The following is a 26,472-nucleotide window of genomic DNA, read 5'->3' as shown; positions in this document are numbered from 1 at the left end:
TTTTTTTTTTTTGAGATGGAGTCTTGCTCTGTCGCCCAGGCTAGAGTGCAGTGGCGCCATCTCGGCTCACTGCAACCTCCACCTCCTGGGTTCAAGCGATTCTCCTGCCTCAGACTCCCGAGTAGCAGGCGCCCGCCACCACACCGGGCTAATTTTTGTATTTTTAGTAGAGCCGGGGTTTCACCATGTTGGTCAGGCTGATCTCAAACTCCTGACCTGGTGATCCACCCGCCTCAGCCTCCCAAAGTGCTGGGATTACAGGCATGAGCCACTGTGCCCGGCATGAGTGTGGATTTCTACTGCACCATATCCTCACCAGCACTGAGAGTGCTGTCAGTACTTGGAATTTTCACCAATGTAGAAATGTAGTGGTATCTCATTGTTTTAATTTGCAATTTCCTAATGGCATATGATGTAGATCATATTTTCATATGCTTGCCACTGTGTTTCTTCTTTGATGGGGTTTCTGTTGAGATCTTTTGCCCATTATTTAACTGAGTTGTTCATTTTCTTATTTTTGAGTTTTAAGAATTATTTGTATATTTTGATAATTGTCTTTTATCACATATGTCTTTTGCAAATATTTTCTCCCAGTCTGTGGCTTGTCTTTTTGTTCTCTTGACGATGCCTTTCACAGATCACATTTTAATATTGATATGTGATATAGAGCTTGTCATTTTTTTTCATTGATTGCGCCTTTGGTGTTATATATAAAAAGTTATCTCCAAACCCAAGGTCACCTAGATTTTCTCTTATGTTATCTCTAATAGTTTTATGGTCATAGCAGTTTTTAAAATGAGTTTATTAGTATATTACTTTAAAATAATTATTAAATGAAATAAATCAAGGATAAAGTGATGCTATATTTTATAAAATTCATTTACAGATATATTTCCTGATAAAATTCATTTATATACAAAATATATAGTTTTCCTCACAAAATTCCTTTATATAGATATAGATAGAGAATTTTTTGTAGAGATAGAGTCTCACTATGTTGCCCTCACTGATTTCAAACTCTTGGGCTTAAGTGATTGTCCCACCTCAGCCTCCCAAAGTGCTGGAATTACAGGTGTAAGCCACAATGCCTGGCTAGAAAATTCTGCTACAAAAGAAATATAAAACAAACATATTCTAATATCTGTTTCTTGTAATATAAATATGAATTATTTAAATTTTCACAAACTCCCATATCTTTTTCCATAGTTCTTAACATGTCTAAGAAGTAGGAAAACAATAAAAGGACAAATAAAATACACATTTTACATTTTGTTATTATAAAACAGTTCATTACAAATATACAAATGCAATAAGATTGTTTGCATGGTCTACAAGCAATGTTATGTTGATTATCTATTTCACTTTTTTGATCATTACATTGTAAGGACTAAAGTTCCCTTGATCTTTGTTGTCTCATTAAAATACACATGTTTTGAGATGGCAGGTTTGCTCACACCTGTAATCCCAACACTTTGGGAGGTTGACGCAGGAGGATCACCTGAGGCCAGGAGTTTGGGACCAGCCTGGGCAACGTAGCCAGACCATTTCTCTACAAAAATATAAAAAATTAGCCAGATGTGGTGGTGCAGGCCTGTAGTCCTAGCTACGTGGGGGGTTGAGGTAGCAGGATCAGTTGAGCCCAGGAATTCAAGGCTACAGTGAGCTAGGATCACACCACTGCACTCCAGCCTGAGAGACAATGTGACACCTTGTCTCAAAAAAAAAAAAAAGAAGATATTTTGGTGTAGTTTTAAATTCTCATAGAAAAGCTTCCTGAAATAGACAGTTACATTACATAAAGTTCATTCCCTTTAAGCCAACAAAAAGTTACTTATTAAATGTATCTACCTAAATAAAGTTTTAATTGATGAAAACTAGAATTTTGATTAGAAAACTTTAAAGAGATGAAAGACACTGCAATTTCTGTTTGATGTAAGCTGCAAATTTTTCATTTTTTCCGTACCTGGTTATTTTGCCTTTCTGTGAAACATAACTGTTGGAATATAATCCCACCTGCATGATAAACTGGGAGCCATCATTCAACTGTATCCACAGAGCTCCACAGAGTTTACTGTGTCACTCAAACGACATTTTTCACAAAATAAAATTCAAAAGCTGTTCTGATTTTGGAAGACGATCATTGAAAGCGGCAGAAAAGGAGTTTGTCCCAAAGTTGTAGCTGTGCAATCATATTCTTTGTACAATAGGTATGTTAAATATGGGTATCTATTGCAGGGAAGATGAACTAGTCATGATTAAACTAGTCATGATTATTCTTCTTTTAAAAGATGTCTTTCCTCTCACTGTAAAGTTTGACCCACAGAAGGAGGAGGTGATAAGGCCTTAGGGGCCTAACACTGCCAGATTGTCTATGCATACCAAAAAGGAAGGACGACTTCCACGTTTATTTTCTTCTTTGGAAATTATAGATTTCAGTTTCAAACAAATGGAACACCCCCTAATTAGCATGGACCAAATTTATCTTCATTTTCTCTTTGTGGAGGCTAAAGCAACTCCATCTTGGATGCTAATCCACTGTGTTGACTTCTGATTAACTCCAGTTCTAGGAATGCCTCTAAGGTTACTACTTAATCTACTCTTAAGAGCATGTACTTGCCGTAAATCCTGCCGTTAAGCAAATTACTGCAATTGTCTTTCCCTGTGGTATATAAGCCCTGGGTCTGGGGGTAACAGTGTGAGGATCCACCAGCTCATCTCAGGGCAGATATATGGCTTCTGTTCTTAAGTCCCTATTAATTTTTCTTTTTCTGAGAAACTAGATTTGACAGCCTCTTTCTTCAGCCTGTCAGCCTCCTTGACTTTTGGGGGTGGGTTTGCAGAGAATTGTTCACAGTGGAACACATGTTTAAGCTACCATCTTTACTTCCTCCTTTCCATGTGTAAGATTTCTCACACATTTTCCAAGATTTTGCAATGACTTGAATTAAATCTCTTTTGGATAGTTTTTGCTCTATCATAATACCAGACCTCAAAATCAATAGCAGGGTAATTTTTTTCATCAAAATGCATCTACAGTACCTTGTAAAATAGATGACCTTGTAAAATAGAGCCAGATCCTTTAGGTAGAATAAATCTGGAAGCATATTCATATTTCCTCCAGTACATTTCTGGTAAATTGTTAAACCTGTACTTACTGATGTTAGTAGGTGGATGCATTCTATCAGCAAGAGAAAACTTCCATCATTTGGATAATACATTGTAATAATATCTCCATCCCTGGATATACTAAGACCTCTTTCAGAAGTTTTGTGGATACCTCTTCTGGATGAAGTATGTTCATTATTGCCCTTTTGATTTTCAGTTATGACTGATTTTAACTTGCACATAGTTAAAGAAGGTATAATACTTCATAATGTACATGTCTGAAAATACTTCAGGTTTTGCTGTCTTCCAAAACAATTGCTATTTCATAATCTGCCAATACTACTTTATGTGGTGTTCTTGACTGTGCCATTGTCAAATGTGTCCTCAAAAGTAATGCACAGGCTGGGCAAGGTGGCTCATGCCTGTAATCCCAGCATTTTGGGAGGTCAAAGCAGGTGGATCACTTGAGGTCAGGAGTTTGAGGCCAGCCTGGCCAACATGGTGAAACCCCGTCTCTACTAAAAGTACAAAAATTAGCAGGGTGTGGTGGTGAGCGCCTGTAATCCCAGTTACTTGGAAGGCTGTGGCAGAAGAATTGCTTGAACCTGGGAGGCAGAGGTTGCAGTGAGCCGAGATCATGCCACTGCACTCCAGCCTGGCAACAGAGTGAGACTCTGTCTCAAAACAACAACAACAACAACAACAACAACAACAACAACAACAACCAGAAAAGTAATGCACAAAGCATTCAGCCCATGGACCAAACATTAAATGCAAGTACATGTGCACTTTGCAATTTCTAGGGAAACATAATTAGGAATTTTACAATAGAGAACAGTGATTTTCCAATTGAGTTGCTAGCCCCAAATTGTCAGTCTTGATGTTTACATTATGCATACGAGGTTAGAAAAGAAGTTACCAGTGTACTTACCATAATAATGAAAATGCAACATTCTTGTGGTGGCCTGGTGGGTGAAGTGTCAAGCTTCATTTCCTAAGAAGGTTTTCATTCTGTTCTTTAGGTGTCCATTGCCTTCTGTATTATGGTACATTTCTAATGTCAAATCTAATCCAATCCTTGTCTTTAAAATATTTATAAAGCTCCAGTGTAGGAGGATGTTTCAACTGGCAGTGCATTTTCATCTCATTGTGGACTCTCTGTATTCTTACTGCTTTCTTAACTATCATCTGGACTGAAATTTCCAAACCAGTGTGTATGGACTCAACTTTGCAGACACCAGCAAATGATCCCTTACCAGGCAGATTTCCAACTTTAAAATTCTCCATCTTCTTTCTGTGGCAAAGTCACAATATTTCCAGGCACCAGCCTTTGCATTCATTGGGCTCAGTTCTCTGGCTGCCACTCCTATGGCAAAAGTACAACCACCTCAGCGTCTCTAGGGCATCTTCCAAGGCCAGGGCCATGTCTCTGAGCTCTTGTTTTTAAAAGCTTGGGCCCTTGCTCCACATAGCAGTAATGAAGACAAAAATGAGTCTTCTTCCACCCCACCTCCACTGCTCTTTTATTGCTACAACGTAATAAAAAGTCATGCATGAGTTGGGAATTTGAGGAGAGACTTGCGCAGTCAATTATCCAATACTGTGATAGCAAAGTTCAAAAGGAACCTAGTTCCCTTGTAAAAGAACATTTTCCAAGAGAGGAGATTGTATTGTGTAGCGGTTTGAAGTATTCTGCAGTCAGATTGCCTGGGTTCAATCTTTTACTTTGTCATAGCTGTGTGGCTCTTGAAAACTACTGAACTATATTGGGTATCAATTCCCATATAGGAAAAAGAAGTACTAGTAATAGTACCTGTCTCTAGATTCATTGTTTTGATCAAGTGATTAATGTATATGACACTTTTTGGACAGTAAGAGGCATATGAAAGAATTAAGTAATTATTAGCTATCATCATTAATTTATAGTTTTAAAAAGTAGCTCTCCCAGAAGATTCTATATATTAGATGATTCTGATGCTCATTTACAACATTTATATGTTTATGTTTACTTCTTGCATTATATATGAGGCTAGGTCAACAAGCAACTTATATGTTTGCTTATTTATTTAATGCTGGGCATTCAGGAGAAAATTTTCAATGAAGGTACACCAATCAATTCAACTTTAAAGTTAAGTATCAAACTTACCTCCTGTAAAAAACATTCCTCAACTTTTCAAACAGAAAGAATCATTTTCTATTTTGTGCCTCTATCACACACAATTTTCTTGTTAGTCTAACGATTACAGAGGTAATCACCCCCAAAGAAACACAATATGATGTCTTGTCTCTGTATGCTAATTGAGATTAGAGAAAGTTAAAACATTTTTATTGATATTTAAATGTCAAGCAACTGAAAGAGTGAGTGTCTGTGCAAAAGGGAGTTGAGCTGTATATGTGTTATTGACATCCCCTTCTCTAGAGGTATTCCCACAGAAGCTGGATACGTTGCCTCCTATATATTATAGTAATTAAGAGCTCATCTTTAGAGCCTGACTATGCAAATTTATACCCTAGCATTGTCTCTTCCTTGCTATATTCTTGAACAAATTTCTTGGCCTCTGCATCTGTAAAATGAGGAGAGTAATAATATATAGAATTGCTTTGAAGATTAAATGACTTATATAAAGACCATTAGGAGCAGTAATTGATGGTGTGAGTTCTAAATATAAGTTTGCTGTTTCCCAGAGGATCTAGAGATGGAATTTCTGCCTGTGTGGGCCATTTTGTCTCATATTTGGCAAGAATCTTATAAACCATTAAGTGTATGTTTATATGAAAAATTTTTGGCTTGTGTGAACTTCTAACTTTTCAATTGTTTATTGTTTATTGACATAAAACAATTATGTGGAAATGAGCAAACTTTAATTTCCAACCATTACAACTGCATGACTGCACTAGCTCTTGTTTAAAGGGCATGAGAAGTTCAGAGTGGCGTGAACCGAGAAAAATATATCTTATTTCCTTGTGAGATTATATTTAATATAGTAGAGTGAAAAAATAGGATTAAATGATACATAAATAACTTCAACATTTAATATGCAAAACTGAATTATATGAGGCAAGAGCTACAGAATACTTTTTTGAGCCTTGATATGAAAACGATACATATTTTAAGCTAAATTATCCTTACTTATGGAAAACAACCATGTGAAGAAATACACCACTATGAATTTCTTTCTTTCATTCTTTTTTTTTTTTTTTTTTTTTTTGAGAAGGAGTCTTGCTCTGTTTGCCAGACTGGAGTGCAGTAGGATGATCTTGACTCACTACAACCTCCGCCTCCTGGGTTCAATCGATTCTCCTGCTTCAGCCTCCTGAGTAGCTGGGATTACAGGCACCCACCACCACTCCCTGCTACTTTTTGTATTTTTAGCAGAGACAGGGTTTCACCGTGTTGACCAGGCTGGTCTCGAACTCCTGACCTCAAGTTATCTGCCCCCCCTCGGCCTCCCAAAGTGCAGGGATTATAGGCATGAGCCAGCGTGCCCCACCACCACTATGAATTTCTGTTTTTCCCATGACACAGACTGGGATAGAATTATCTTTAATTTCATTCAAATAGGAACCATGTTACTTAAAATACATAACATCTCGTTAAAACCATCTCCTGTGATAGGATACCACCTTCACCATCTGGTGATCCCACCCTACCCCTGGAGGAGCACTCACTGCGATGTGCAGAAAATGCCTGGGATGGGGGCGGGCGAGTGGTGGGCAGAAGCAGCAGGGCTTCTCATGAAACATACCAAGCATTTTGTTGTGCCTTTCCCACTCCAGAGATGATTTAATTAGAGTAATTCAGGAATCTTGGTTTCTATTTTTTTTTTTTTTTTTTTTTTTTGAGATAGAGTCTCACTCTGTCACCCAGGCTGGAGTGCAGTGGCGCGATCTTGGCTCACTGCAACCTCTGCCTCCCAGGTTCAAGCGATTCTCCTCCCTTAGCCTCCTGAGTAGCTGGGATTACAGGCACACGCCACCATGCGTGGGGATTACAGGCACACGCCACCATGCGTGGCTAAATTTTGTATTTTAGTAGAGACAGGTTTTCACCATGTTGGTCAGGCTGGTCTCAAACTCCTGACCTCATGATACACCCGCTTCAGCCTCCCATAGTGCTGCGATTACAGGTGTGAGCCACCATGCCTGGCCTTTGGTTTCTATTATGTGGAAACACAGAAGAGACTCTGGAGCTAGTGTTCACACCCTCTGTAGGAGCACGTGGAGCCCAGTGTCAGTCCCTCTCTCACCTACAAGGCAGCAGTGGGTGCAATTTTTATGACAATGCTCCTTACTTCCTTTCCCTCTCTCCCTTATTATCAGAATAAAGGTGATGTTCTAAAGGAGAAGGCATGACTACAGGGTCTTTCTTTAGCAACCAGAGACTCTCTGCACGTCAATACTAATTAGGTGAAACCAACTCTGGAAGAGAGAAATGCCTGATGTGCCTGAAGTGTAGCCTTTCCAGGGTTGTGGGCCATCAGTGCTGCAGGTGGGAGAACACAAGATAGATAGCATCTTGACCTGGAGCCAATAAAAGATCCTTAGGAGGCCAATAAAAGATCCTTAGCAGGCCAGGCACAGTGGCCCACTCCTATAATCACAGCACTTTGGGAGGCTGAGGCGGGTGGATCACCTGAGGTCAGGAGAACGAGACCAGCCTGGCCAACATGGTGAAACCCCGTCTCTACTAACAATACAACAAATTAGCTGGCCATGGTGGCAGGTGCCTATAGTCTCAGCTACTCAAGAGGCTAAGGCAGGAGAATTGTTGGAACCTGGGAGGCAGAAGTTGCAGTGAGCCCAGATCGCACCATTGCACTCCAGCCTGGAGGACAGAGCAAGACTCCTTCTCAAAGAAAAAAAAAAAAAGATCCTTAGCAAGTTACTTACCTATGCTAGTAGTACTTTATAGCTTCCTAATACTTCAACACCATATTCCACTCAGGCCTCACAGTAACCTTGTGAATAAGGCAGGGCTAGTGTTGTTATGCTTATTTTGCAGACATAAAATGGTCACAAAGCTGAAAGATGTCCAAATGGAACCCATGACCTGGTCTCTTGACTCTCAGGTTAGAGATTTCTGTACCACATTTAACTCCAAGAATGTGATGGTCATTCTGGTTATCCCTTAAAACTTACACACAGGCCACGCACGGTGGCTCACACCTGTAATCCCAGCACTTTGGGAGGTCAAGACAGGTGGATCTTCTGAGGTCAGGAGTTTCAGACCAGCCTAGCCAACATGGTGAAAACCTGTCTCTACTAAAAATACAAAAATTAGCTGGGCTTGGTGGTGGGCGCCTGTAATTCCCAGCTACTCAGGAGGCTGAGGCAGGAGAATTGCTTGAACCCAGGAGGCGGAGGTTGCAGTGAGCCCAGATCACACCGCTGCACTCCAGCCTTGGTGACAGAGTGAGACTCTGTCTCAGGGAAAAAAAAAAAAAGAAAGAAAGAAAAACAAAACTTACATGCATGTGCACACACATATATGTATTTGGTAGGTACATGGGCATGATGCATATTTACTTTTTTCATTATAGAATTATATGTCCTCATTGCAGAAACATTGACAGAAGCATAAAGAAGAAAATGTGTCCGGCCTGATAAATACCGTTATCGTTGACATTTGGTGCATTTTCTATGGAATCTAGTGAAAGTCTGCTGTGAGCAGGAAGATTTCACTGCATTACGGTGTATTTAAGAAACAATATTAAAATAGTTTTTAGAAGTTTGGTTTTTAGAAATATATGGCTACATTTCCTTCCTCAAACCTATTTGGGTATACTCGTTTAAATTCCTGTGTATTTAAAAGAGCTCAGAGCTCCTCAGAACTCAGGTTTTCATAACTTCAAAGTGCTTGCTAATTCCACACCCATAAGACCATGGTGCTTTTTCCTCCTCTCATCTTTTTTTTTTTTTGAGACGAAGTCTCGCTCTGTCGCCCAGGCTGGAGTTCCGTGGCGTGATCTCCGCTCACACTGCAAGCTCTGCCTCCTGGGTTGACGCCATTTTCCTGCCTCAGCCTCCCGAGTAGCTGGGACTACAGGCGCCCAACACCACGTCCGGCTAATTTTTTTTGTATTTTTAGTAGAGACGGGGTTTCACCGTGTTAGCCAGATGGTCTCGATCTCCTGACCTCGTGATCCACCCACCTCGGCCTCCCAAAGTGCTGGGATTATAGGCGTGAGCCACCACGCCCAGCCCCCTCCTCTCATCTTCTATAACATAACTTGATTTCTGGCTGACCATTTACAATCTCATGAGTTCCTGCCTAGTCATTTCATTTCCTCCCCTTTCCCTTCCAAAATTATTTTTTCCTTCAACCTAGTCTACTCCAAGTAGAGCAAAAAGAACAAAGACGTGAGTCATCAAAATTTTTTTCTCCCATTGTTAACCAACTAATTGTGTGGCCATCAGTAAGTTATTTCACCCTTTTGTGCCTCAATGTTGCCATCTTTAAAATGAAGAGCTTTGCTTTGATAATTCTTAAATTCCTCTCAGGCTCTAGCTTCTTAGGGTTCTATTATTAAATATATACATGCCAGAATGTGAGTGCCCAATAATCTGGATCTCTCAGGAGAAGTGTTATTTCAAAGGTGAATCTTCTCTTTAGCCCAGGTTAATTTATCATACATTCATTTATTCTTTTATGTATTTATTGAACATAAATTTGCTAAGTGTCTTCTAAAAGCTGGGATGCAGCTGGGTGCGGTGGCTCACACCTGTAATCCCAGCACGTTGGGAGGCCAAATCATATCTTTCATAATCACATGGGATTACAGGCATGAGCCACCACACCTGGCTGCATCCCAGCACTTTGGGAGGGATGCTATAATCCCAGCACTTTGGCCTTCCAAAGTGCTGGGATTATCATATATTCCAATGATAAGATACAGACATAACTTGAGCTCAGGAGTTCAAGACCAGCCTGGGCAACATAGCAAGACCCTGTCTCTACAAAAAATACAAAAATTGGCTGAGCATGTTGGTGCACAGCTGTAGTCTTAGCTACTTAGGGGGCTGAGGTAGGAGGATCACTTAGGTCTGGGAGGTCAGGGCTGCAATGAGCTGAGATCATGCCACTGCACTCCAGCCTGGGTGACAGAGTGAGACCCTGTCTCAAAAACAAACAAACAAAAAAAAGCTGGGATGTATAAATCTGGTAAACAATACAGAGTGTCCCTGGCATCAAGAAGCTTATCATGTAATAAGAATATAGACAAGTTGACAGGTAATTATGAAAAAGTCTCACATTAACATAGGGAAAGTATAGGAGTCTATTAGCCCTGCTGAAAGCAGTTTATAGTAGGTCTCATCTAAATAAATATTTTATTATGGTTATAAATGAAGCAACATTTATTATATCTTATGCATTTTTATTTATTATGACAGAATATATCTTTTTTTTTTTTTTTTTGAGACGGAGTCCCGCTCTTTAGCCCAGGCCGGATTGCAGTGGCACAATCTTGGCTCACTGCAAGCTCCGCCTCCCAGGTTCACGCCATTCTCCTGCCTCAGCCTCCCGAGTAGCTGGGACTACAGGTGCCCGCCACCGCGCCCGGCTAATTTTTTGTATTTTTAGTAGAGACGGGGTTTCACCGTGTTAGCCAAGATGGTCTCGATCTCCTGACCTTGTGATCCGCCCGCCTCGGCCTCCCAAAGTGCTGGGATTACAGGCGTGAGCCACCGCGCCCAGCCGACAGAATATATCTTATGCATTTTTATTTATTGAATGTCATTTTATTCCAATGATAAGATACAGATTACAAAACTTCTAGTATAATTACACATAATTACCTTTTGTTGTTTTCCTACAAGAAATGCACAGGTATTTTGAGGTCTTTTGTATTGCATTATTGGTAAAACATTGCATAGTATTAGTTTGTGGCTCTGTTACAATGGGTAATGACAGGAATGCATACAGATGTCTCTGCTATGATAAAATGTGCTCTTGTTGGGTTACATTAACCTTCCTTCAAAAGGGATTTCTCAGTTGTACTTCTTACAGTCTTCAGGAAATTCATTAAATCAGTGCCTCCAGTTCCTTTGGCTTCCAGTTTTGAAGGGTCTTCAGAGGTCTTATTCTCCTTTGGCTGCTGGCTTGCAGGAATCAGGATGTACTTAGTCACGATTTGCAGATGGTAGCTCCTCAGGGAGACCAGAGCTTTCACACAGGCGTCATAAGCTTCCCGCAGGCCAGCATCACCTTTTGAAAGGACAAACTCACGGACTGAGGGATTTGACTCTAATGAGCACAGGAAGTTCCTGTGAGCTGGTGGCATATATCTTCTCATGTCCTGGAGGAACTGAGCAGCATGTCCTATAGGAAAAAGAGAAAGAGGAAATACGGAGGTCACAGCATTCCCCAATCCAGGAGAGAAAGGCAGAGTGAGGTCAGAGTGGGCAGGAGATCACCAATATAGCATTCACTGAGGTCAAGGTCATTCTATTTGAAGGCTAATGTTTGGCTATTAGTCTTGCTACTAGCAATCGTAATTATTGTAAAATATTATTAATTTTGAAAACTGAATGAGCTAAACTCATTTTCTCACAATAAGTATTTTTGTTTGCGCTTTTTTTTTTTTTTTTTGAGACAGAGTCTCGCTCTGTCGGCCAGGCTGGAGTGCAGTGGCACGATCTCGGCTCGCCGCAACCTGTGCCTCCCGGGCTCAAGCAATTCTCCTGCCTCAGCCTCCGGAGTAGCTGGGATTTCAGGCATGCGCCACCATGCCCGGCTAATTTTGTATTTTTAGTAGAGACAGGGTTTCTCCATGTTGGTCAGGCTGGTCTCGAACTCCTGACCTCAGATGATCCACCTGCCTCAGCCTCCCAAAGTGCTGGGATTACAGGCATGAGCCACCGCGCCTGGCCTTTGTTTGCACTTTCTTTCTCTCTTTTCTACTGTAAGAAGCTGATGGTATAGACAAGGGGCATATATAATCTGCATTTGACAGATTATGACTGATTCTTAAGAGAGTTTAAGAGATTGTGTTTAAATGAGTGTTCAACAACAGCAAAGACATGGAATGAACCCAGGTGCCCATCAATGGTAGATGGGACAAAGAAAATGTGGTACATGTACACCATGGAATACTACACAGCCATGAAAAAGAATGAAATCAAGCGCTTCACAGCAACATGGATGCAGCTGGAGGCCATTAGCTTAAGTTAGCCTAAGTGAAATAATGCAGAAACAGAAAACCAAATACCACATGTTCTCACCGATAAGTGGGAGTTAAATATTGAGTACACATGGACACAAAGATAGGAACAATAGACAGTGAGGATTTCAAATAGGGGAGGGAGGGAGGAAGGAAAGCAAAGGTTGAAAAACTACCTATTGGGCACTATGTTCTATACTTGGGTGAGGGGATCATTAGAAGCCCAAACATCAGCATCACCCATTATACCTGTGTAATAAGCCTGCACATGTATCCCCTGAATCTAAAATAAAAAAGTTAAATATGATAAAAAAATTTTAAAAATGAGTGCTCAAATTAAGAAAAACTCATGTTTTTACCCAGCCCGATGCTTTCCCCTTTGACTGTTAAACAGAAGTTTAACAAAACAGAGAAAATTAAAAAGAAGTTCTTCTTGGAGCTTATTCCTCCCCTCCAGCTAAGCCCCTAGAAGGCATACAATGAATGTGGCTCACCTTTAAACTTTGGTGCAGGCATTGCTCTGGGTGGCTGGGGCCACGGGACAGCTGAACAAGAGCAGGGCCCAGACTCTGCTTGTCACTGAGGTCTTTATCTCCCCACTAACAGCCCTGTCTCATTTGCAGGTGAGTGTCTCTTTCTGAGTCTGATCATACATTTTCAGAGCATGTGATATTGGCTTCACCGGAGTCAACCAGTCTTTATAGACATGTTCAGATTTCAAGATGGAACTTGGGTGTGAGGAAAGCTCTGCCAATTTATTTTATTTTATTTTTCTTTTTGTTTTTATTTATTAATTTTTTTTGAGATGGAGTCTCGCACTCTTGCCTAGGCTGGAGTGCAGTGGCGCCATATCGGTTCACTGCAAGCTCCGCCTCCTGGGTTCACGCCATTCTCCTGCCTCAGTCTCCCGAGTAGCTGGGACTACAGGCACCCGCCACCATGCCCAGCTACTTTTTTGTATTTTTAGTAGAGACAGGGTTTCACCGTGTTAGCCAGGATGGTCTCGATCTCCTGATCTTGTGATCCGCCCGCCTCGGCCTCCCAAAGTGCTAGGATTACAGGCGTGAGCGACTGCACCTGGCTTTTTATTTTTTATTTTTATTTTGAGATGGAGTTTTGCTCTTTTGCCCAGGCTGGAGTACAGTAGCACGATCTTGGCTCACTGCAACCTCTGCCTGTGGGGTTCAGGCGATTCTCCTGCCTCAGTCTCCCGAGTAGCTGGGATTAGAGGCACCCACCACCACACTCAGCTAGTTTTTGTATTTTTAGTAGAGACCGGGTTTCACCATGTTGGTCAGGCTGGTCTCAAACTCCTGACCTCAGGTGATCCACCTGCCTAGGTCTCCCGAAGTGCTAGGATTACAGGCTTGAGTCACCGCACCTGGCCAGCTCTGCCACTTTCTAGCTGGTTCACAAGGAACCTGTCACTGACTCTCATTAAGTTTCTGCATCTTCATTTTTAAAATGGGATCATGGCAACCAAATCCCTACTTGCCTGATTCTGCTAAAACTATCAGATAAGCTCAGATAAGATGCTGATGGGAAGGTGCTTTGTAGATATCCAAATACTATTGTATTCACATAAGAGATAATTATTTCTTGTTATTTTCCACTCACCTCCACCAGCAGTCTGCTGGATGCCCAGCAGGACGTCAAAGCACTGAAAGACGCTGCTTTGGCCTGCACTGCCCCCTGCAAACTCCTTTGGGTCTTCCCAGAACCCTTCATACACCAGACCGTCTGATAGCTGGGGGTTGCCTTTCCAGCTATCAGAGGAAAGAAAGAAAAAAAGAAAAATCATTCTTTAGGTTAATTGCTAATTTTCAGGTACCAAATCTTGCACTAGTGCTGAACAGAAGGTGACAAGAGATGGATTTCATGATCCTTTTTTCATACCCCCTTGCCCCTGCTCATTTTCAAGCATGAGAATAGTAAATAATATAATCCTGAGCAGATTTGGCATAACTATTCTAGGAATGGAATCTTACCTTTGTACTAGCACAGACCACTCTTTTTAAAATAACTAGCTTTCCTGTCCCCCACTCCAGTACATTCCTGGCCAAGTGATAACAGAACAGTCTAGTATTTTTCTACCATGTGAATTTTTGGATGTAAATTGTTAGCCAAACCCAATGGATATTAGGGACCAACCAAGAGAATTTGGTGGTGTTCTTTGTTAAGTGAGAGCAAACAAATTCAAACATAAGACTACATACCCAGACAAATATATGCGAAGAACACTGAAAAATGCTTTTGGGTTCACATGATCTGTAAAAAGATGGAATATGTTTAATTAAGCAGCATCAGAGGTATACAGGGAAATCAAGGTGTTGTGTACAACTGATAATGGATTTTGGCACAGGCTGCAGGAAAAGGCATTAGGTCAGTCTATGCTAAACAAAGCCCCTGCAGATAAGCATTCACTTTCCTACCCTCTTCCAGGAAGCCCATTAAACTGTATCTATTTATTTAGCACTACTTTACTTTACGTGCTTACTGACGTAACAAGTAAACTGTTTACATAAAGAAACAAACCAAAGACAAAAAAAAACAAATCAAAACAAACCAAAACAAAACCCTAGAAACTAGATTTCCCTCTCTATTTTTAAAATTTTTAAAAATTGTTTGGAGACAGGGTCTCACTTCATCACTCAGGCTGGAATGTATTGATCATAGCTCACTGCAGCCCCAACTCCTGGGCTCAAGCAATCTTCCCACCTCAGCCTCCCAAGTAGCTGGAAACTACACATATGAGCCACCGCACTCAGTCTCCTACCCTACTTGATTTGAAAATCTAGCTTCTTGCCAAGGACTAAACAGCAATAACTCAAAACCCAGAGAGAAACAATCAAGTATTTGTTGAGTCTGTTCAGTAGGGCAGATTTCCTATTGCAAATTACTGCTTATGCACTTTTTTGTGTGTTTTTTTGTGGGTAGTTTTTTAGCTGTTAATTTTGCAACAACTTTTGACCTCAATGACTTTTCTGTATTGTTTCTTAATTTGTAAAAAAACAGAATTAGGAAGGAGTTCTTATCAAGCAGAAGCTATTTTTTTTTTTTCGGGACTTAAAACCACCCTCCCATGTGGAAAGTTTCTCTAAGGTTTTTAGCGGGAGGCAAGGAAGTTCCTTAGTGTTAAATAGACCCAGCTTGGAACTCTGGCTTCACCGCCTGTGGAATCTGAAGTCATTTACCCTGTCTTTCTGAATTTAGATGACTTTACTTATAAAATGGAGATAATGAAACCTACCACATAGAAAGTGGAATGGTTTAGTAAGATAAAATACCTAAAGTGAAAACATACTAAGTGATAGTTGCTTTTTGCTTCCCTTTTTTCAACTATTCTACACCTGGAACATTTGACTTGTCAGCCTAGACTATTGCACTGCACACAACACTTGCCGTGGATTTGGTGAAACACTTGAAGGGCTTTCTCCAAGCAAGAAGCTATTTCCAACAGCGCCTTTAGCAAAGTGTCCCGTTCTTGCATTTGCATTGCCTTGAATACAGTAGGAATTACCTAAAACAAACAAACAAAACACAAACATTTAAGGTTTTCTTTCTTTCTTTTTTTTTTTTTTTTTTGAGACGGAGTCTCGCTCAGTTGTCCAGGCTGGGGTGCAGTGGCGCGATCTCAGCTCACTGCAAGCTCTGCCTCCCGGGTTCACGCCATTCTCCTGCCTCAGCCTCCTGAGTAGCTGGGACTACAGGTGCCCACCACCATGCCCGGCTAATTTTTATATTTTTAGTAGAGACGGGGTTTCGCCATGTTGGCCAGGCTGGTCTCGAACTCCTGACTTCAAGTGATCCGCCCACTTCAGCCTCCCAAAGTGCTGGGATTACAGGTGTGAGCCACTGTGCCCTGCCAAATTCCCCCGTCTTAATCCATAAATTAAATTTGGGATTTTTACATTTCTTTCCTGGGCTGGACACTCTATTTGACTAATTTCCTTACATTTATAGAAGCTTGGATTTGTTTTTATTCACATAGCATTTAATTTAAAGATATTTATATAGTTGTATATGTTTCATTTCTATTTTTGATAATCAAAACTATTGAATTTATGACACTGTATCATAGTTCCAAAGCCAGATTTTATTGAAAATTTTTATCTCCTACAGAGGTTTCAAGTTGGATTTTAAGTATATGGCTCTGAGATTTTATATTTTAGGTAATACACAAAAATAAATAATTGATCCTTTACCCCCAATTAAATGATCCCATGTTGTACTTGTTAAGGATAAAGTTAACTCATGCTTAGTATAGTTTAGGCTCCGAAGTGATTGCTCTGCTTACGTAAATTGACATATAAATTTTGAAGTGAGGATAGACGTACTTTGATTGCAGAAGCAGCTGCTATTTCCACCAATAGAGAGACCAGGAAGAATCCTTTACTGCAGTCTCCATCACGAAATGAGAACAAAACGTCCATGTTCCTGAGGAAATTGGATAAGGAAGGCAAGAAGTTTAGCAAAAATTATGGGATATTTTTTGACATTTTTATTTATGCTATTTTAGTTTCAACATAATTTTATGAGAGAGGTGTGGCAGGCCTTACTATCTCCATTATGTAGTTGGGAATATTAAGACTCCTTTTTTAGGCCCATTGTCCAAGATCATATAATTAATAGTAAGTAGGTTAAACTGAGACCTAAAGTTTCATATTAGAACTCAGAACTAGGGCCGGGCATGGTAGTTCACATCTGTATCTGTAATTCCGGCACTTTAGGAGGCCAAGGCGGGTGGATCACCTGAGGTCAGGAGTTTGAGACCAGCCTGGCCAATGTGGTGAAACCCCGTCTCTACTAAGAATACAAAAATTAGGTGGGCATGGTGATGGGCGCCTGTAATCCCAGCTACTCGGGAGGCTGAGGCAGGAGAATCACTTGAACACAGGAGGCGGAGGTTGCAGTGAGCCAAGATCACTCCATTGCACTCCAGCCTGGGCGACAAGAGCGAGACTCGTCTCAGAAAACAAATAAACAAAACAAAACAACAACAACAAAAAACACTCAGAATTAGAAATTCCCAAACTAGTTCTGTTTCTATTATCCCGTCAACTTCTCACAGGATATCTGCGAGGTAGAGTTTTAAGAGGTAGTCTTTTGTTTAAATAATTATATTCATATTCACATTTTAATTTGTGAGCCTAATTCAATTTCTCAGTGGTTTATATGCTTTACAAAGGAATTGACTGCGAAATTCAAATAACTGATTAGACCCTGTTTTTCTTTTTAATTGAAGTTTGGGCGTTGGTGCAAACATAGTCTTACTATCTGTATATCTATGAGTTTTGTGGTGGTTAAATTCATGGTATCTGAAGCCAGACCATCTCTGCAACTTACTTGCTGTGTGACCTTGAGCAAGATATGACACCGTCTGCCTTGGTGTTCTCATCTGTAAAGTGAGACTGACTGCTGATGTCATCCTCGTTTTTAAAAACCTTCCAGTTTCTCCCTTAAGATACTGTTTTAACTCCTTATCATAGCTAATAAAATCCTACATAATCTTTATTTATTTTTATTTTAATTTTTTGAGATGGGGTCTTACTCTGTCGCCCAGGCTGGAGTGCAATGGCACAATCTCGTCTCACTGCCACATCTGCCTCCTGGGTTCAAGCTATTCTCCTGCTTCAGTCTCCCGAGTAGCTGAGATTACAGGCATGTGCCACCATGCCCCGCTAATTTTTGCATTTTCAGAAGAGGAGGGTTTTCACTATGTTGGCCAGGCTGGTCTCGAATGCCTGACCTCAGGTGATTCACCCACTTTTCCCAGCGATCTTTAAAAAAAAAAATTAATCTTTTTCTCACACTGTTATTTTTATCACTTATTATCAGTGACATTAGCCATCCTTCAGCTTTGATAACGCACCAAGATGTTTGTCACTTCAAGGTCTCACTTTTGCTGTTTCTTCCGCTATGAATACTCTTACCTTTTTCCTCTAGCTAATTCCTCAAATAACTTGCTTCAAGGGTTCCCCCATCACTCCTTTTATTTGGTTAGGGATCCCAATACTTTAACTTCTTATGCCTTATCTTTATCATATCGCAATTTACATAATTTTCATATACTGCCTTTCCTCTTCATTAGTCTAGCTTCACCAAGGTGGGTTTATACTGATGATATTTACCTTAGTTTTTCCATCTTTTTTTTTTTTTTGAGATGGAGTCTTGTTCTGTCACCCAGGCTGGAATGCAGTGGCGTGATTTCCGCTCACTGCAACCTCCACCTCCTGGGTTCAATTGATTCTCCTGCCTCAGCCTCCTGAGTAGCTGAGATTACAGGCGCCCGCCACCAGGCCCGGCTAATTTTTTGTATTTTTAGTAGAGACGAGGTTTCACCATGTTGCCCAGGCTGGTCTTGAACTCCTGACCTCAGGTGATCCACCTGCCTCGGCATCCCAAAGTGCAGGGATTACAGGCGTGAGCCATGCACCCAGCCCAGGTTTTCCATCTCTTAGCCTATGTTTAGTATATATTATAGGTCAAAAGTAGTAAGGATTGGGTCAAAAAGAACAAGTTGGTATATGGTTACTTATTGACACCGGTAACTAGTTATGGACATGGGAGTTATTAAATCATAGATACACAGATGTATGTGCATTTTGTATGTTTGCATATTAATTTCCTACAGATGTATTTGAGTAGTATTCTTGTATATATCTATAGCTATAATATCAGATAGACATAGTTGTAACACAATCATAGATACAATTAAAGACTGAGATTATTTGTTCTCTAAATAGTCACTTAAATTATTTTTTGGCTGAATTCAATTAATCATTTAAAAATGCATTTGGAGTCTATTGATAAACCTACATTCAACTATAAGTAACAAATAATTCTTAGAATCAAACAAGAATCAGATACTTACTCATAAGTCAGGGGCCTTATGAAAGCAGCCATGAAGCAATGGACCAATTGGAAGAGAGAAAGAAAACCAATTTAACATCAAATAATGATGAGTTGTTGCTATTTGATTGAATGCTACTATCAGAGGTAAGACATAGGTAAAAAGAAAAAGCTTATTAAAATGTTTCTTCAGTAGGCATTACATTTAACTTAATAACTTACAAATGAATGAAATAATTAAATATGCAAGGAACACACATGGACAGTCAAAACTAGTTGTTTTATTTTTATTTTTTTGAGACAGGGTCTCATTCTGTCACCCAGGCTGGTGTGCAGTGGCACGAACATGGCTCACTGCAGCCTCAACTTCTTGGGCTGAAGTGATCCTCCTGCCTTAACTCCCTGTGTAGCTGGGACCACAGACATACGCCACCATTCCCGGTGAATTTTTTTTTAAAAAAACTAATTTTTAATAAGAAGAAACTTTCTAGATTGAATCCTTTCATTTTATGATATTCCCATTTGCAGAATATTTTTCTACAGGCACACACCCAGAGACGTGGGCTTTGGTTCTCCCTTTCCTTTATTGTAGCAGATCTTATGCCTAAATGGGTAAAAATCACCTATATCCTGAGCAGACTGCTCTGAGAAACCAGTCATTGCTGCCTGTAATTAAAGATGTGTTGACTCTTAACCACAATTGGCTGCTAAAAAATTAAATTAATAGAATCTCAAAGACATGCTCATCAAAAGAAGCCAGACACAAGAGTCTATACTCTGTGGTTTCATTGATATGAAACCCAATAACAAAAATCATCTAATTTTTGATAAGGCAAATAAAAATATATTTGTCTGTGGCAGGAAAGGGAATTGAAAGAGGCACAAAGAAATTTTCTGAGGTGATAAAAAATTCTGTATCTTACTGAGAATGGTGGGTGTATGTATGTATATAATAGTTAAATTCAAGCTGAACACTTAAGATTTGTGCATTTTACTGTGTTAACTATACACCTGTCACATATGTGTACATTTGTAGTGGTAGACACAGCAGTCCAAGAAACCGTACCCAGCCGAGGAACTGAGAGGAACCATACCCAGCTGAGAGGAAAGCTGCGCTGCCCAAAATTAAGCCAATGAACAACCCCTGTTTTATTTAATCGGCACACACTCCAAAAATTCCTGTTGTTATCACTGTTTACATACTTATTAGGATCCTTTTTCTTCCAGTTTGCCAAGACACAGTCTGCATAAACCAAAATAGGAGGCAGTTCCAGTTTCTTGGAGAGTTGGCAGTAAGGAACAGCAATATTTCTTGGCAAGACCTGATTAAAATACAGTAGTTAGGTTTTTTGTTGTTGTTGTTGTTGTTTTTTTTTTTTTTTTTTTTTTTGAGATGGAGTCTTGCTCCTGTCCCCCAGGCTGGAGCGCAGTGGCAGGATCTCGGCTCACTGCAACCTCTGCCTCCCAGGTTCAAGTGATTCTCCCACCTCAGCCTCCCGAGTAGCTGGGATTATAGGCACCTGCCACCATGCCTGGCTATTTTTTGTATTTTTAGTAGAGATGGGGTTTCACTATGTTAGCCAAGTTGGTCTTGAACTCCTGACCTCAGGTGATCCTCCGGCCTTGGCCTCTCAAAGTGCTGGGAGGCCCATGTGTGTTTTAAAGGTTAGATATTGCAGTCTGTATTAGTTTTATGTAATTAGGGTTGCCAGATAAAATACAGGATGAAAAATGAAGTAAAAGACTAAAAATATAATAATGATAACAGTGGACATGTCAAGCCAGGGCATATTTTCTTTATCATTTTGTCGTGTTATCTAAACTTTGCATGATGCAGTTATAATGCTTTTAGAAAATTTTTGGAAAGTTAAATGTAAATTAGATGAAAATCTGTCACATAGCATAAGAAATCTGAGAAAATCTCCAAACCTTACGGACATCTCCATGACCTTTGCCCCACACATATGCCATGGTGATGCATCCCAGAACTAGACGTGCAAGGCGCTGTGACTTGTGGTCTGTGAGATGATCAATGCTGAGCATGTTTAACTGAAAACAAATGGAGCAATTGACTCAAATCAATCTCAGTAATGTTTTATGCTTCAAAACCAAGTTAACAATGTTAAGAAGCTATACAAGAAGACAAATGTAATACATATGTCAAACCTTCTCAACTCTTTCTCGAAGCTGGCCAGACTCTATGAGATCAGGCAGATGTTTAGCAATGAACATCCAGTCATTATAAAAATCAGGTAGATTTTCCTTGAAAAAAAAAAAAGATCTTTATTTAGTAGTAGCAGTTATTGTAGATTTGGCTTCCCACTGATAGTATGCCTTGCCTTCACATCCATTCTGTGCAATGTTGCCCTGGCATATGGCTTACCTGTCTGGAAACACCAGCCTCTGTCTTGTCATCTGCACACGCAGGGCTGAAGACCCTCTCTGTGTTCCACCTCTTCCTCTCTCTTCAAACACTGCCATTTGCAGCTTTTCAAAGTTCACCTCAAAGGTTTCACTAAAATCCTCCTGACTACTCTATTTGAAACCAATCTCCTCCACTATAAATTCTATGGATTATGCCTTTTCAAATTGTTAAACAATTATTATCTGCTGCTTTGGTTTTTCTTTTCTTTTCTTTTTTGAATTGGAGTCTCACTCTGTTGCCCAGGCTGGAGTGCAGTGGCGCAATCTTGGCTCACTACAACTTCTGTCTCCTGGGTTCAAGCAATTCTCCTGCCTCAGCCTCCCAAGTAGCTGGGATTACAGGCATGAGCCACCATGCCTGGCTAATTTTTGTATTTTTAGTAGAGATGGGGTTTTGCCATGTTGGCCAAGTTGGTCTCGACCTCCTAACCTCAGGTGATCTGCCTGCCTCGGCCTCCCAAAGTGCTGGGATTACAGGCATGAGCCACTGCGCCTGGCCTACTTTGGTTTATCTTGGCTAGATTTTAAGTTCTTTGAATGGAAGGAAAATGAGATGTTTTAAATGTCAATAGTGGACTAGGCACTCTGCTCGATAATTTCATATATATAAAAGATACATATTTAATTATTGTAATGGCCCAAGAAGTTATCTCTGTATCATAAATAAGGAAACCCAGGCTTATACAGTTTACATAACGATTTTTGTATATCGAGTTTATTGTGAAGTTTCCAACTTTCAAAAGAAATGTAATAAATGTATTTTTGTTGTTTTTATTCTATGTTTCACCATCTAGTACATCTTATTTTTTTGGTTGTTGTGATTTTCTCCAAATAACAGAATACTTTTTTGTTCTGCACAATGATGATCATTTTATTTGACAGCACTTTCAACAAGTATAAAATTTAATCAGTAATATGCTCTGGTTCAGAGGATCCCTAAATGGTATAATATAAATTAAAAATGAATCATACTGAGGATCATTCAAATTCTGCTAGATTAGAGATTGTGCCTTGTATCTATCTATATGGAATCAGAAAACATATTATTTTCCTTTGGACTAAGAAGCAGATAGATTATGAGAGATAAAACAGACATTTTTTGGTTCATAATTTCTAGGAAAGATCTTCAGTGAAGAAATAAAAGTAACCAATAATTTTTTTTCATGTTTCCGGGACAGTGAATCTAGCTTCTGCAGCATCTCAGCTAGCAGAATTGTTATTATTGTTATTGTTTTCAGACAGGGCCTCACTCTGTCACCCAGGCTGGAGTGCAGTGGCGCAATCTCAGTTCACTGTAACCTCCGCCTCCCAGGTTCAAACAATTCTCCTGTCTTAGCCTCTCAAGTAGCTGGGACTACGGGCACACCAACATGCTGGGTAATTTTTTTTTGCATTTTTAGTAGAGTCAGGGGTTTCACCATGTTGGCCAGGCTGGTCTCAAACTCCTGACCTCAAGTGATCCACCCACCTTAGCCTCCCAAAGTGCTGGGATTACAGGTGTAAGCCACTGCACCTTGTCAGAATTACTATTATTATTATTATTTCCTGAGATGGAGTCTCGCTCTGTCACCCAGGCTGGAGTGCGGTGGCGTGATCTCAGCTCACTGCAACCTCCGACTCCCAGGTTCAAGCGATTCTCCTGCCTCAGCCTCCTGAGTAGCGAGGATTACAGGTGTATGCCACTATGCCCTGCGAATTTTTGTATTTTTTTAGTAGAGACGGGGTTTCACCACATTGGCCAGGCTGGTCTCGAACTCCTGACCTCATGATCCACCCGCCTCCGTCTCCCAAAGTGCTGGGATTACAGGCGTGAGCCACCCGTCCCCAGCCGAGAATCTTTTTTTTAAGTAGCTAAGGAAGAGTTTCGTTTGTTTTCTTTTGGGGTTTTGCTTTACTCCTTGGAATCTGTTCTACAGGTATTCATAATTATCACAGTTGTTGCATTTTTAAGGAGAATCGAATATCTGAGAAACAAAACCCATGATACAAAGTTTAGTAGTTTCTGAAAAAGATGGTTTTATTGTACCATTGATAAGTACATCCTTGAAATCATCCAGTCCCAGCATTTTTGTAGATCTGCGGGCAAATAGCAAGTTTGAGTATTATTGTTTTGCATGAATAAAGCAAACTAGTGCTTTTGGCAATAAAATTAAAGTATACTTTTCATTTTCTTTAATTAACAATCTGAAGAGGAAAATTAGATTGGAAGGAGGTAGATGCTTTAAATTTGCCAGTATCACCAAATTGTTTACAGGATTTCATTTCTAAGCACAGTTAGGTTGAAATCTCTGACTAAACATTTGCTGTGTTTAAAGGTGCTCTCTAGTATGTGGACTGTAACTGTTTGAGCTACAAACAAAAATACACTCGTCTACAGAATTATTATAACATGTTCATAGAAATCTTCTCCTGGAATCCCATGTACCTTGTTAAACTGAAGATTGAAAGAAAGAAAATAAGCAATGTCTTATTATCCCTTCTTAAGAGAGGCAGTGTGGAATAATGGTTTTAAGATCATAGACTCTGGAGACAGGCTGCTTAGGCTCATACTGGCCTCTGGCACTTGCTAGCTACATAGTTTGATAATTACATTCTGCATGCCTTATACTTCTCATTAGGAACATGAGGATAATAACATACGTTTCTGGCCGGGTGCAGTGGCTCACGCCTGTAATCCTAGCACTTTGGGAGGCCAAGATCGGTGGATCACCTGAGGTCAGGAGTTCGAGACCAGCCTGGCCAACATGGTGAAACCCCGTCTCTACTAAAAATACAAAAAAGTAGCTGGGTGTGGTGGCAGGTGCCTATAATCCCAGCTACTTGGGAGGCTGAGGCAGGAGAATCGCTTGAACCTAGGAGGCAGAGGTTGCAGTGAGCTGAGATCGTGCCACTGCACTCCAGCCCAGGTGACAGAGCGAGACTCCATCTCAAAATAATAATAATAATAATAAATAAATAACATACATAACTTTTGGGATGGCTATGAGAATGGAAAGGGTTAATTTGTAAATTGCTTAGAAAAATGCTGTATTTGATAATTAAAATATTGATGATAAATTGGTTTACATAGCATTCGTTAGAAGACAGACTAGAAAATGTAGTTTTTAAGGCAAACCTTTTTTCCACATACCTTGTACTTTATAGGTAAGACTTGCAAACAAGAAAAAAGGTAGTTCAGACTCTCACTTGAATCTTACGCTCAGTAAATAACAAGCAATGATAATATAACATGGAAGGTGCTTGATGTGCAATCTCATAAACCCCATCAAATTAGAAACACATGTTTTGCATAATTTAAGTTATATCCCTAAGAGAAAGGGATTTCTGTTTGACTCATGGCTCATTTAAAACTCTGGCTTTTGCAAAACACCTTTTCTCAAAATACAACTGTAATAACCTCATTGTTTGTATTTTACTATATAATTCTTATGTAAAGCTGATACACTTTCTATAGTTTCCTTTCTCACCACTCTCCGTATCCATGTTAGGTAAGTAAGAAATGCATAGATGACTCCATTTCTAGGGAGAAAATGTAAGACAAATTAAGTGAGATGCAGTTATTACAGCTCTCTAATTTTTACACAGCTTTATGTGTTTGTTTACTAGAAGTTACTGAACCACAGTTGTTCAGTAGAAGTTAACTTGGCCAGGTAAGGAATGAGAAGAAGAATGCATTTTCCCACATTTTACTGCCTTCTCTTACCTGTGGATTTGGCAGAGCAAAGCCCACTTCTTCATCAATATGGTACTCTTTACTGATTGTCCAGGAGTTTTCCATAGCGTGTGCCATTCTTGTAGTCTGCTCCTCTGGTGCCCCTCAGTGTCTGAAGAGTTTTCAGAGCATCTTATAATAGTTGCTGCCACAGCCAGTGACCACAGTTTATCACAGGGGCAGTGAGAAATTACTTCCACTTTTGGAATGGTTTCATTTTCTAGTTTCTTTGTTTGTAATATGAAAACCAATAAAACCACAAAAGCATCTCTGTGCATCATATGTACAAACTGAAAGTTCGTATTCCATATGAAATTTGTAATCATTAAGCACATCATTTTCTTACTGCCATATAGGAAGCCAGAAAGGCCTGAAGGAAAACACAGAACTATGAAAACAGGTGGCCGGAGAAGAACATTTTACTTTATGGAAACTTTTAAATCTTTGAATGAAAATGAAGGCTGCAGTCCTAAACTCTCATTTAGTTATTTCTCATTGGCTTCCTTTTAGGCTTCCACAGTTCTTTGAAAATATTAGTGTCATGTTTCAGCAGCCCGGAAACACAACCTGTGTTATACTCAACTATTAGTCAATGGCTCTGAAGTAGGAAAAAAATAGAAGCACATGAAAAATTAGAAACATAGTAACTCTCCACTTCCTTATTTTTCCTATTGGGACTTTTGTCAGTTTTTCCAATGATAGCATTTGCCCTTCTCACATCTCTAATAAGTAACTTTTAGGAAGATTGCCTTGCATCTAACTGTACCTGACTGCGGGGGGCTGATGAGGCAACAGTCTGGCATATTTGGGTACTTTGTAATATGTCAAAAGTTGGAGAAAAGGATAAAATACCTTGAAAATGTTTTTCTCAAAGTACAAATTAAGACTGCATTTGGTAAAGGTTTTCAGCTTGCATGCAAGTCTGTGGTTCACTTTAGAGGCATTGTTCAATCTTAATGAGAACAAGGAAGCTAAAGAAGAAACCAAGTTGCCCGTTCCTCTAGATGATCAAAAGGAGAAAAGAGAAATAGTTCGTGTGAGTAAACTAAAAGACATCGCTGTTTTGTCATCAGCTTATTAGTACTTGAAATAAATTAAATTGTGATAGCATATGGCTTTCGTTACAGTCTAGAATAGCTCTCGCGCTATTCTCTACTAAATTATGGCTGTTTTCTTCAACCTGTCATTTTACAGGAAAATGTTCCTTGAATAGGAAAT

At 39.9% G+C, this 26,472-nt stretch overlaps 2 protein-coding genes and 1 pseudogene across 2 annotated transcripts in view, besides 1 other annotated feature; all 3 read right to left on the bottom strand.

Moving 5' to 3' along the window:
- IDO2 (indoleamine 2,3-dioxygenase 2) overlaps positions 1-4,604 on the bottom strand; it is an 81,742-nt gene extending 77,138 nt beyond the window's left edge. The window contains exon 1 of the mRNA NM_194294.5: positions 4,037-4,604. The gene's annotated coding sequence lies outside the window, so the exon portion shown is untranslated. The remainder of the gene's footprint in view (positions 1-4,036) is intronic.
- Positions 1,868-4,407, bottom strand: LOC100420480 (polo like kinase 4 pseudogene; annotated as a pseudogene).
- Positions 8,931-9,225: an enhancer, noted in NCBI's record as "tiled region #12355; HepG2 Activating non-DNase unmatched - State 23:Low". NCBI's record gives its function as "activates a minimal TATA promoter and a strong SV40 promoter by Sharpr-MPRA in HepG2 cells {active_cell/tissue: HepG2}" and the evidence as "EXISTENCE:reporter gene assay evidence [ECO:0000049][PMID:27701403]".
- IDO1 (indoleamine 2,3-dioxygenase 1) lies at positions 10,465-25,364 on the bottom strand. Its single transcript, NM_002164.6, has 10 exons — positions 25,246-25,364; positions 21,285-21,380; positions 21,048-21,167; positions 20,322-20,440; positions 19,141-19,155; positions 16,604-16,703; positions 15,669-15,786; positions 14,483-14,534; positions 13,884-14,032; positions 10,465-11,425 (listed from the first exon to the last, which is right to left on the bottom strand). Exons 1-10 carry the CDS (start codon positions 25,330-25,332, stop codon positions 11,070-11,072), a joined length of 1,212 nt encoding a protein of 403 aa, NP_002155.1. The 5' UTR covers positions 25,333-25,364; the 3' UTR covers positions 10,465-11,069.

Source organism: Homo sapiens, chromosome 8 (genome assembly GCF_000001405.40).
Source record: "Homo sapiens chromosome 8, GRCh38.p14 Primary Assembly".
Lineage (NCBI taxonomy): Eukaryota > Metazoa > Chordata > Mammalia > Primates > Hominidae > Homo > Homo sapiens.
The sequence above is the reverse complement of the archived record's forward strand: the minus strand, read 5'-3'. Positions and strand labels throughout refer to the sequence as shown.

Excerpts from the sequence above, each read along its gene's own strand:
- IDO1 (NM_002164.6), bottom strand. The coding sequence starts at position 25,332 with ATGGCACACGCTATGGAAAACTCCTGGACAATCAGTAAAGAGTACCAT. Across the intron at positions 21,381-25,245 it reads TTGCTCTGCCAAATCCACAG|GAAAATCTACCTGATTTTTA; the intron begins GTAAGAGAAGGC and ends TTTTTTTTCAAG. Across the intron at positions 14,033-14,482 it reads CTTCGCATATATTTGTCTGG|CTGGAAAGGCAACCCCCAGC; the intron begins GTATGTAGTCTT and ends TTCCTCTGATAG.